Source organism: Homo sapiens, chromosome 9 (assembly GCF_000001405.40).
Source record: "Homo sapiens chromosome 9, GRCh38.p14 Primary Assembly".
NCBI lineage: Eukaryota > Metazoa > Chordata > Mammalia > Primates > Hominidae > Homo > Homo sapiens.
The window spans coordinates 25,859,884-25,872,792 of NC_000009.12; the positions used below are offsets into that span (position 1 = coordinate 25,859,884).

Sequence of the window (12,909 nt, forward strand, 5' to 3'; positions counted from 1 at the left end):
AACAATAATAACAACACAAGTAATTTTACTGAATAAGACTGGGACATAAGCTTAAAAGTATTTTTATAAAATTTATATATGCAGTATTACAGGAACACAACTGTTAAATTCAATGAGAAATTTGGTTTATTAATGAAACTAAGCTGTATTTCACCAAAACCTTTTGACAATTCCTTGGTGCATAGGACATAAAACACAAAGTTATTGTTATTTGGTAAGTTAAGTCTCTGTAATTACAATTATAAAAGCAACATTAACCAAACCTGGGAAACATGCATTGGAGATCCTACATTATTACTTTGCACTTACACTTGCAGGATTTTCATTTAATTTTAAATGTTATTCTGTGTGGCTTTGTAAATAAATAACAATCTTTTTAATCAAAAGACTAACAAAAAGCAAATGGATCTTTCTCTTTTTTTTCTGTCTTTACATTGCCACAGAAAATTACTGTCTCATACTCAAGTCTCAAGAGCTAGGAAGATAGCAAAAAGAAATAGGCTACATTCAAACCATGAAGTATCAGTGGGAGTTTTGGAATTTCTTTATAGTCAGAACTTAAGAATAACCATCTGTTTTGAGGAGGTGGATCAATGAAGGACAGTGTTGTTAATTATATTCCATAGATTTCTACATTAATACTAAAAGGAAGGACACTATAAGTTTTCTATATCAAGGAAGAGGGAAGGAATTGGTCAAGATAGGGGAAGCTCTTGTTATGGCTTGAATGTCGATGGTCCCCACCAAAACTTATATGGAAGCTTGGTCCCCAGTGTAATGGTGTTGAAAGGTGGTGTTACTTTCAAGAAGCATTTGGGTCATGAGGAATCCACCTTCAAAAAAGGATTAATGCAGTCTCTCAAGAGTGAGTAGGTTTTCACACTTGCTGGACTGGATTAGTTACTGTGACAGCAGCTTGTTATAAAGTGGGGTCACCCCTCATGTTCTCTTTCTTTCACACCTGCCTGCTTTCCCTTCTGCTTCTCCATCATGTTATGGCACATCATGAGGCTCTCACCAGAAGCCAGTCAGATACCGTTGTACAATCTTGGACTTCCCAGCCTTCAGAATTGTGATTCAAAATAAACCTCTTTTATTTATAAATTACCCAGGCTCAAGAATTCTCTTATAGCACAAGGAAATGGGCTAAGACAGCTCTCACATGACCTCAAGACTGTATTTGATGCCATCACTGTGAAATATAATATTAAATATAAGAATATATTTCCAGAGAGTGTTTAAGCTAGCATGAGTCTTTTGGTTTTTATTAATTGACACCTGAAATGTCCTGTATGAAGAAAAAGCTAGTTACTCTATTTTAGATGGCTCTTGAAAGTCAGGTAAGAGATAGAGTTGCCAGATCAGTGGCAACGATATAGAAAACTAAGTGTGTTTTTGTATATATGTGTGTGTAGACAATAGTTAACTTCAAGGAAGACAAAATGTGGTACAAAATTATATATATAATCATAATATAGTGTCATCTGTGTATAAAATTTCCATAGTTATAATGAGGCAAACACTGAATATTGATTGAGCTATAAATTGTGATACACTTATTTTGGTAGAATTGGCAAAGGGGATGCATGTAAATGTGTATAGGTGCAGTGAAAAATCTAAATTCTGATCCTCTATAGTAGAAAACCAAAAAACAATGGCTAAAATTGAAAATCTAGAAATAGCACTATTGAGCAACACAGACACAACTGGAGGCTATTATCTTAAGTGAAATAACCAAGAAACAGAAAGCCAAATACCATATGTTTTCATTTATAAGTGGGAGTTAAACAATGAGTACACATGGGCGTACAGGGAAGAATAATAGATATTTTAGATTCTAAAATGTGGAAGGGTGAGGAATAAAATGATTATCTATTTGGTACAATATACACTGTTTGGGTGATGGGCACACTAAACGCCCAGACTTCACTATTATGTGAAATTTCATGTAACAGACCTACACTGGTACTCCCTAAATTTACTATAGAAATTAAAAAATAAATGTAAAGAAATAGCACTATCATGATGTTATTTAGCAATATGGGGGAAAATTTTTTTAAAGTTGAAAGTAGATGTCTTTGAAAATGGTATTAGCTTTAATTATTTTTACTATAAACTTTGTAGTATTATCTGACTTAAAAATATAGGTAGGGCGGACACGATGGCTCACGCCTATAATCCCAGCACTTTGGGAGGCCGAGGTGGGTGGATCGCTTGAGCTCAGGAGTTTAGGACCAATCTGGGCAACACGGCAAAACCCCATCTCTACAAAAAAATACAAAAATTGAGCCAGGCATGGTGGCACACACCTGTAGTCCCGGCTTCTCGAGAAGTTGATGTGGGAGGATTGCTTGAGCGTGACAGGCGGAGGTCACGGTGGGCCAAGGTTATGTCACTGAGACCCTGTAACCTCCCCCCCGCAAAAAAAAGTAAAGAAAAGAAAAGAAAGTATATGTGTATATTTATTTGATGAAATGAAAATTTAATTTACATAAATTAAATATAAGTGGTTTTAGAGATATTTTCAGGATGTTTAAAATTATGAGGTCAATGTGTAAACCTTTGCTCATGTTGACTTTTCTTTCCAAATTGGCTTAGCAGCACAATTTTTGTTTTTGCTCTCTCCTCTCTAAGCTCAGGAACCATAGATGTCAAACATTTGAATTCCTACTGATGAGCAAAACTAGATTTCAGAAGAGCATACTAGAAGTAGAAAAGACATTTCGTTTTTTTTTTCCTAGGAAGCAAATGAGATTTTATATCACAAGAACTTTTCCTGTGTATTTTCCTTATAGGTAATGGTGCCTTTATTCAGTCATGTGATTCCTAAACACTGATTGTTCAACAATGTGACTTCCAAATCCATAATCTTTTATTGAATCCAGTGGTTGTTTCAATAAGAATAAATAGTTATATTCCTCAAAAGTTAAGAGGCTTAATTAGCAACAATAGGAAGTATTATAATCCTCCTCTCTTCTGTCAGTTTCATTTAAACAATCAATAGGCAGGTAGAAGGACTAGGGGACAGGAAGGGGAAGGGAAGGGCTATTACTATTTGTTCAGATAGGGAGAGAGAGAAAGAGTCAAAGACAGAGAGTTTTTTGTTTGTTTGTTTGTTTGTTTGTTTTAAATTAGACCTTACAACATCCTAGGATGCCTTAATTTTCTAAGCTGTGCCCAAGGTTGCTTACTGGAAATTAAGGGATCTGAAATTCAAATTGAAATATCTTTCTCCAAAGTCTACATTTTCATCAGCTAGCCAAAACTAAGGACAATTCGGAATCCGTCCCAGGTCTGGCACCTTGCATTTTGTCCCTGCTCATATAGTTGCTAAATATAGCACGGATATTTATGAATTCATTATTCATAAGATTTAGACCCTAACATTCATTTTAATACATAACCTATATCTGTACATTTTTAGAGTACCTAAAGTAGAAATCTAAACAATTTTTGGATGCTTCCTGAAGCATCTCTGTTTCACTTTCTATATTATAGGATTAGCTTGCAGCTCTCTTCCAAAACATGGCATAATTGAAGTTGTATAGTGAGGAAAACTTGGAAATGATCAGGGTTGGGGGAAACACAGAAGGGGTGAACAATTTCTGCCAACATCATAAGAACTCTTTGAAAATCCTTGGCTATTAGCTAAAGAACAAGATTAGACTCATGTCAAACTTCAAAGCTTCTTTCTAACCACCTATTCTAAAAAGCTTTTCTCTAGAAATAAAATAGTTTCCCTTTTCTTCACAAAACAGTGAGAAATATATTTCTGCTTATTTATATATTTTTTAAGATAAAATTCTTTGAGTTTATATGAGAGGATGAATTCTTGTCTTGCCCTTTCTTGTCAAGGATTTTTCAAGGTAATAAAGAAAAATACATGTAAACATTTTCCCAATTTGTGATGAGCAGTCAATAAACAAAAAATGTTAATCATACTAATTTCTTCTCGCTGGCAAAGTGATGCATAAATAATCTATTAACATACATGGGCCATCAGGGTTAAGCTGTTCAAACATTGTTATTGATTTCTTCCATTTCCCCTATGCTCACTTCTTATTCAACCAGTACTATATAACTCCTCTTTTCCATTATATTGTAAAACTTTGCTCCCTTGAGCATCTCTGTGAAGCTCTGCTCTTAAAACATTAATTAAAGGGAGTTGAAGTGTTTGACTAATCAGCAGAGGAGTCTGTAAGGCTCCAATGCTGAATGACAAATGTCAATATCTGCTTTAGGTTTGTTGGATCAACGAGCCAATATGGAGAAACTGATCCATCGTCTTGTCACCAATTCCCATAGCACCCCAGAAACCTGCCAATTAAAAAAAAAGTTGTAATCACAATATATCACTCAGCCACTATTGCAGGAACATGATAAATAGGGACCTTTTTCTTCCTCTCTGTTGAGTATTTGATGTCTTTTTTGAAAATTTATTCCATTTTTTAGGTTGATGCAAACTCAAATCCAAAATGAAAAAGAGCACCTTAAGATATATATTCCTCTATTCTTTTTCCTGAAGCATAAATTAACATTTTATTGAATAGGTATAAATTCTTGTGGACTTTTGAAAAGTGACAGAGATGGTTAAGACAGTAACTTGTATTACTGAGAACTAGCCAATTCAATAGCTCTTTTTCTCTGCAAAGGCAAAGTTTAGAATTTCCTTTGGTGAATATTCACTAAAAAGTGGAAGGTGATATAACACACAAACCCTTTAATATTCCTCATTCCTTAACAGGACAAAGGTACGCTACATAAATCTTTCCAGCCACATTTCCTGCCTCTCTCTTACTCATAACCTTTTCTCTAGCTATTCTAATCTGCAGGAAATCCTCTCAATGTGACAAATATGTCTCTGGGCATGCTTTTTGGATTATGTGGAAGTTTTTCCTGAACATTGGACCATTTGGTCAGCTTCTGCAAGTTCTTCCAGACTTGACTTCAATACTACCTCCCCTTAGACATACCCTTGAAATCCACTCAAAGACTGAGTTAAAGACCCTTTTCTGGGCTGCTTCTCTTAACTTTCATAACACTTGGTCCATGCTCTGTTCAAACCTAGGTGCTTTAATCCTTTTACTGTAAATATGAGATTTTCTCATGTGTTTCCCTTTTAAGGTAGTGAGCTCCTTGAAGGACAGAAAGCATTTCACATGTGCCTTGTATTCCAATCACAAGCATAATGACTGGTACCCAGTATGTACTCAGTTTTGATAATGCATCAAATTATTTTTAAAACTTATATGCTTAAACCTCTGAGCAGCTAGCCATTATCTCAGAATCAAACCCAGCTTCTTATCATCTTTGTTCCCTTGTCCTTCCAGAGGTGAGGAGCCCAGCTCCTCATCTCTAGCTTCCTGTTGATCCAACCTCCCTGTCCTTTATTCTTATTTCTAATTTACCTTCCTTCATCTTCTCCTATGTGACAAGTTTCTATTTATCTGGGGTCATTTGTACATGCTATTGCCTATGCCTTAATATCCTTTATCAATAATGTCAATATCAATAATATTAATATCCTGGCCAACCCATTTTTTTTTTAAAAGATGGGTTCTTGCTATGCTGCCCAGGCTTACCTTGAACTCTTGACTCAACTGATCCTCCTGCCTCAGTCTCTCAAGTAACTGGACTCCAAGTGCATACCACTTCACTTGGATTTAATTTTCTTTTTTTTTTTTAGACGGAGTCTCGCTCTGTGGCCCAGGCTGGAGTGTAGCGGCACCATCTCGGCTCACTGCAAACTCCGCCTCCAGGATTCAGGCCATTCTCCTGCCTTAGCCTCCTGAGTAGCTGGGACTACAGGTGTGCACCACCATGCCCAGCTAATTTGTCATATTTTTAGTAGAGACGGGGTTTAACCACGTTAGCCAGGATGGTCTCGATCTCCTGACCTCATGATCCACCCGCCTCGGCCTCCCAAAGTGCTGGGATTACAGGCATGAGCCACTGTGCCTGGCCTCGGCTTTAATTTTCACTGTGTTTTTTGTTTGTTTTTATAGAGATGAGATCTTGTTATGTTATCCAGGCTAGTCTCAACCTCCTGGTCTCCAGCTATCCTCTTGCCTCTGCTTCCCGAAAAAGCACTGAGATTACAGATAGGAACCAGCATACCTGGCCCTATCTTCATTTTGAAAAGCCATTTCTTTAGGACATATTTTCCTGATACTTTTTCCCAAAACCAAAATTATGACTGAAATTGCCTAATCCAATGACATCTTCATGGCTGTTATCTAACACATAACATTAGTGTATAGATTCATTCCTTTCCAGACTATAAGCTCCATGAGAGGAGTCATGTTTCTTTTATTCACAGTTGAATTTGTGACACTGAGACATCCAGTAAATCTTTGTAAACTGAATAAATAAATCTTGAATATATGAACAAAATTTGATAGCACGAACTAAAGGCTGTAAATGTGAATAGTTACCATTTAAAAATTAAGCTTTTGTAGTAAAATTTATGAAATATGCTTCTAAGGAAGCTATATTCTTTACTGTGTATTCCGTTTGCATTGAGCAACACAACAAGCTTGAAACAAGAGTGCCTTTACTCTTAAAACTCACGTGCCTCAGTTTTTCCCACTCAGGCAATTGGCCTAGCAAGGATCCAGAAACCTGGGGATATTATTAAATTAGAATGAAAATGTGAATAATTATTTCTCCTTAATGCCCCCCACCCCAATAATTGCTTGCACCTGTGATTTTCTAGACACACGTTAGTGCCACACTCTTTTCCTCCACATCCAGGTGAGGAGTAACTGAAGTCACTTCACAAATTTCTCCACACTTTAGAGGCAAAAATGTTGGCACTTGCTGACCAAAGACTGCATAAGTTTTCACATTCTGTGACCTATGTTTTAATCTTAACGTTCATTGTTTTGTTCCACAAAGTAGAAAACAAAATAGAAGAGGAGGAGGTGGAAATCAGTGGTACCAAGCAAAATGTCTGCAAGGCCTGAGACAGCAAATCTTGCCATGTCATACTCTTAGCTATTATCTATAGAGGCTGCGCAATGACTTTCCGCTTTGCTTCTCTTGTTCATGTTCAAAGCCTTTGTTCAGTAAACAGGTGTTGCTGATCTTGGAAGAGGAATAATAGGGGCTGGAGCCTCTAACACAATCATGTAAAACACTGATGATATTTTGGCTTAAAAATAAAGCATCCCCAGTGACAGAGCCTGCTGAAATCAGTAGAATTTATGAACTTACTTATTTATTTGCCTTCTGTCTGAACAAGAATCTTACCATGGAATTAAAATTCAGCAGACAGAAACCCAAGTTGAGAACTACGCTCCAGGTATCGTTTTTAATCTTTTATCTGATTCACAGTGATGAACAAGACAGCATTAAAACTCCTCTAGTCATTTTCTCAAACACTGCAAAGCAACAACAAGGACCATGATTGCTTTTAAGGTAAATCCTCACTAAAATATTCACAGACCAAACAAAGAAAAATAAGCAAACAGAAGGCCAGGAAAATTAAATGCTTTACCTTCTGAACTGTCAGGGTTGGTCTATGTGCTAAAGTGTAGACCAGATTCAGAACAAGTTATTTAATATCTAAATGTCTCCTCAATGCTCTTTTTAGAACTTCTTACAGCTCATCTAAAGTTATTAAAAGGAAATAATAAAATTCCACCATCACTATAATTTCATGAACTGTTATTTGTTGGATTTATGTAAATATGAAGCTCTGTCTTTTAAAAAATTTCATTTTATGTCACATGGAGGTAGTCTTTACAGAAAGCTGCAAATGTAATAAAGATAGTCTCAAGTATTTTTTTAAATAGTAATATATAGCACAGTGGTTTTAAGAGGATATTAAATGCATTTTTAAAATTAAGCATATTTATGAAACTCCTTTTTCTGTTTCCTCATGCAACCATACTCCACTTATTTTGATATATTCCCACCTTTATGAGATCCTTCTTTCATAATTGGGAAAAGATTGATCTGATTCATAGAATCCTTAAAAGTGTTTCTAGTTCATTTTTCTGATCTCTACAAGATGCACACAATTTGTCTATGGCTATAGCTATAGGCTAAAACATTACTACTTGACCTGCAGTTAAATCATCAATCATTATCACTTGCTTAGAAGTATATAGACAGAACATCCTATTCATTGATCTTTCTACTTTTTTTTTTGTGATGAAGTCTCGCTCTGTTGCCAGGCTGGAGTGCAGTAGCGCGATCTCGGCTCACTGCAACCTCTGCCTCCCAAGTTCAAGAAATTCTCCTGCCTCAGCCTCCCAAGTAGCTGTATTTTTAGTACAGACGGGATTTCACCATGTTAGCCAGACTGGTCTCGATCACCTGACCTCGTAATCAGCCCGCCTCGGCCTCCCAAAGTGCTGGGATTACAGGTGTGAGCCACCGCACCCAGATGATCTGTTTACTCTTTTTAGGGGCTTGTATTAGTATCTTCTTGACTGCACAGAATTAGGGCAGTCCCCGTTACATCCTAATTCTTCTCCCTACTCAATATAAAATTCCACCTAATTAGAAGGGAAGCATTACTAATATCCATGAGGTTTTTACACTTTAATCTTTTGATTTAAAATAGACAAACTGAGGCCAAAAAAAAGATATTGAGTTTATATTCCATGACTCATTTCGGTTTTTCACTTTACTTTGTACAATGACAGGTACAATCATAGAAAATGATATTTTTTCATGTTGGGCTCTATTTGAGGTCTGAAAATGGAGTCAACTTTGGTTAATTCTCCATTGATAATTGAAGATTAGTAAAATTCCTTATTTTCCACAAAAAATTAATTAATCTGCCTTCTGCCAAGATGGGGCTGAATTTAGGCAGTAGCAGCCAATTTTAATAGGGTCATATTTTTCTCACTTTTCTTCTGCTGAGAGGCCCCAGAAAAATAATGTATCTTTCTTTCTTTATTTATACTTTTCAGAATCTGATTTATTTATTTTTATTTTCTGTTTCCTTTTTTGTTTATATATTTATTTTTAATTCCAATAGCTTTAGTGATACAAGTGGATCTTGGTTACATGGATGAATTGTACAGTGGTGAAATCTGGGCTTTTAATGTACTCATTCCCCATTAGGGTACATTGTACTCGAGAGGTAGTAGTTCACTCACCTCAAACCCTCCTCCTTTCTGAGTCTTCACGTTCATTAGACCACTCTGTATGGCTTTGTATTAGGCTTTTCTCATGCTGCTATAAAGACATACCTGGGACTGGGTGTTTTGTGAAGAAAAGAGGTTTAATTGATTCACAGGCTGTGCAGGAAGCATGGCTGGGGAGGCCTTAGGAAACTGACAATTATAGCAGAAGGTGAAGGGGAAGCAGGCATATCTTTAACATGGATGGCAGGAGAGTGAAGGATGAAGTACTACACAATTTCTAATAGCCAGATTTCATGAGAACTCTATCACAAGAACAGCAAGGACGAAGTCTGCCACTATGATTTAATCATCTCCCACCATGCACTCCTCCAACACTGAGAATTACAATTTAACATGAGATTTGGGTGTAGATACAGAACCAAACCGTATCATTCTGGACCTGGCCTCTCCAAAATCCCATGTCCTTCTGATATTTCAAAACACAATCATGCCTTCCCAATAGTCTCCCAAAGTCTTAACTCATTCCAGCATGAACTTAAAAGTCCAAGTCCAAAGTGTCATCTGAGATAAGGCAAGTCCCTTCTGCCTATGATCATGTAAAATAAAAAATAAGTTAGTTACCTCCAAGACACAATAGTTACAGGCATTGGGTAAACAGACCCACTACAAGAGGAAGAAAACAGCCAAAACAAAGGGGCTACTGGCCCCACGCAAGTCTGAAACCTAGCAGGGCAGTCATTACATCTTGAAGCTCCAGAAAAACCGCCTTTATCTCCATGTCTCATATCCAGGCCAAACTGATGCAAGAGGTGGGCTCTAAAGCACTTGGACATCTCTGCCCCTGTGGATCTGTAGAGTACAGCCCCTGTGGCTTCTGTCACAGGCTGGTATTGAGTGCCTGTGGCTTTTCCAGGCACATGGTGCGAGCTGTTGGTGGAGCTACCATTCTGGGATCTGGAGAAGAGTGGCCCTCTTCTCACAGCTCCACTAGGCAGTGTCCCAGTGGAAAATTTGTGTGGGGGCTCCAACCCTACATTTCCCCTCCACATTGCCCTAGTAGAGGTTCTCCATGAGGTCTCTGCCCCTGCAACAGACTACTGTCTGGACATTCAGGCATTTCCATACATCCTCTGAAACCTAGGCAGAGGCTCCCAAGCCTCTACTCTTGCCCTATGCATATCCACAAGATTAACACCACACATGGAAGCCACCAAGGCTTTGAGCTTATACCCTCTGAAGCAACAGCCTGATCTGTACCTTGGCCTCTTAGCCATGGCTAGAGCTGGAGTAGCTACAATGCAGGGCACCATGTCCTGAGGCAGCACAGAGCAGCAGGGCCCTGAGCCTGGCTCAGGAAGCCATTTTCCCCTCCTCAACCTCCACACCTGTGATGGGAGAGGCTGCTTTAAAGGTCTCTGAAATGCCTTAGGGGCATTTTCCCCATTGTCTTGGCTATTAACATTCAGTTCATCTTTTGCACATTTCTGCAGCTAGCTTGAATTCCACCCCAGAAAATTTGTAATTTTCTTTTCTACGACACGGCCAAGCTACAATTTTTTTTTCTACCTCATGGCTAAGCTGCAAAATTTTCAAACTCTGATGCTCTGTTTCTTATTTAAATATAAGTTCCAGTTTCAGATAATTTCCTTGCTCATGAATATAAGTTTATGCTGTTAGAAGCAGCCAGGCCATTCTTGAACACTTTGATGTTTAGAAATTTCTTCCGCCAGATACCCTAAATCATCTCTGTTAAGTTCAAAGTTCTACAGATCCCTAGACCAGGGGAACAAAGCTGCCAGTCTTTTTACTAAAGCATAGAAAGAGTGACCTTTACTCTAGTTCCCAATAAGTTACTCATCTCCATCTGAGACCACCTCAGCCTGGACTTCATTTTCCATATCACTATCTGCATTTTGGGCAAAACTGTTTAATAATTCTCTATGAAGTTCCAAGCTTTCCCACATCTTCCTGTCTTCTGAGCCATCCAAACTCTTCTAACTTCTGCCCATTACCCAGTTCTAAAGTTGCTTCCACTTTTTCAGCTATCTTTATAGCAATGCCTAATTCTCTGGTACCAATTTTCTGTGTTAGTGTGTTCTCTCACTGCCATGAAGACATACCTGAGACTGGGTAATTTATGAAGAAAATAGGCTTAATTAACTCACAGTTCTCCAGGCTATATGGGAAGCATGGCTGGAGATGCTTTAGGAAACTCACAACCATGGTGGAAGGCAAAGGGGAAGCAGGCACATCTTCACATGGCCAGCAAAAGAGAAAGAAAGAATGAAGGAGGAAGTGCTACTCACTTTCAAAGAACCAGATATCATGAGAACTCTGACATGAGAACAGCAAGAGGAAGTCTTCCACCTTGCATCAATCATCTCCCACCAGGCCCCTCCTCCAACACTGGAATTACAATTTGACATGAGACCTGAGTGGAAACACGGAGCCAAACCATATCACGTACGCATAACTTAGCTTCCACTTAAAAATAAGAACATGCTAATTTGTGGTTTCAGTCCTGATTTACTTAGAATAATGGCTTTTGGTTCCATCAAAGTTGCTATAAAAAAAACAGAAACATTATTTTTCCTATTTTATAGCTGAGTAATATTCCATTGTGTTTGTGTGTGTATACACAAAAATATACCACATTTTCTTTATCCACTTTCTGGTTGATGGACATGTAGGTTATTTCCATATATTTACAATTATAAATTGTGCTGGAGTAGATATACACCTGCATATATCTTTTTATATGGTTTCTTTTCTTTTGGGTAGGTAGCCAGTATTGGGATTGCTAGATCAAATGGTGTATCTGCTTTAAGTTCTTTGAGAAATCACTACACTGTTTTTCATAAAGGTTAGGCTAACTTACATTTCCATCAGCAGTGTATTACCATTCCCTTTTCACCACATCTGTACCAATACCTATTTTTTGTTGTTGTTGTCTTTTTTGTTGTTTTTACAGGCATGGAAAACTGTACTCAGACCTGTCATTCTAATGCATGCTCAAGCCTCCATTTGCTACAATGTGACTAGATTTGCAACCCTGTGTGCCCTAAATGGTAATGAGAATGGTAGGGGTGAAGAAAAAACTGTACTTTTGATCCTGTCCTTACCCTCTCTCTAGCTGTTCTGCCCTCTCTGTGTCTCAAAACACTCCCAACCCTCTTCCCTCCAGACTCTTGAAAATTGGCTAATAAAATCACATTTCAAAGGTCACAAAAGTAAACAGAACTGATATCCATGGTTAAATATTCCCTTTATTAGTAACATTCGAATTTTTAAAACCTCTTCTTATTGCTGCCTCTCCTAATTCCCTCCTATTCCCTCTTTGTTTTAATTTTTAATTTTTGTGGGTATATAGTAGGTTTGTATATTTATGAGATACCTGAGATATTTTGATAAAGGCATGCAATGTGTAATAATCACATCATGAAAAATGGGATATCCATTCCTTCAAGCATTTATCCTTTGTATATATATACATTATAGATAATCCAATTATACCCTTTCAGTTATTTTAAAATGTAAAATTAAATCATTATTGACCACAGTCACCCTGTGGTGCTATCAAATACTAGGTCTTATTCATTCTTTTTAAATATTTTTTATATCCATTAACCATCTATGCCTCTCCCTTCCTCCCCATCCCCACTGCCCTTCCCATCTTCTGGTAACCATCCTTCTACTCTCCATCTCCATGAGTTCCATCCTTTTGATTTTTAGATCCCACAAATAAGTGAGAACATGCAGTATTTGTCTTTCTGTACCTGGCTTATTTCCCTTAGCATAATGCCCTCCA

General features: G+C 37.5%; 1 annotated feature.

Moving 5' to 3' along the window:
- Positions 4,728-5,022: a silencer, noted in NCBI's record as "tiled region #6427; HepG2 Repressive non-DNase unmatched - State 24:Quies, and K562 Repressive non-DNase unmatched - State 24:Quies". NCBI's record gives its function as "represses a minimal TATA promoter and a strong SV40 promoter by Sharpr-MPRA in HepG2 and K562 cells {active_cell/tissue: HepG2 | K562}" and the evidence as "EXISTENCE:reporter gene assay evidence [ECO:0000049][PMID:27701403]".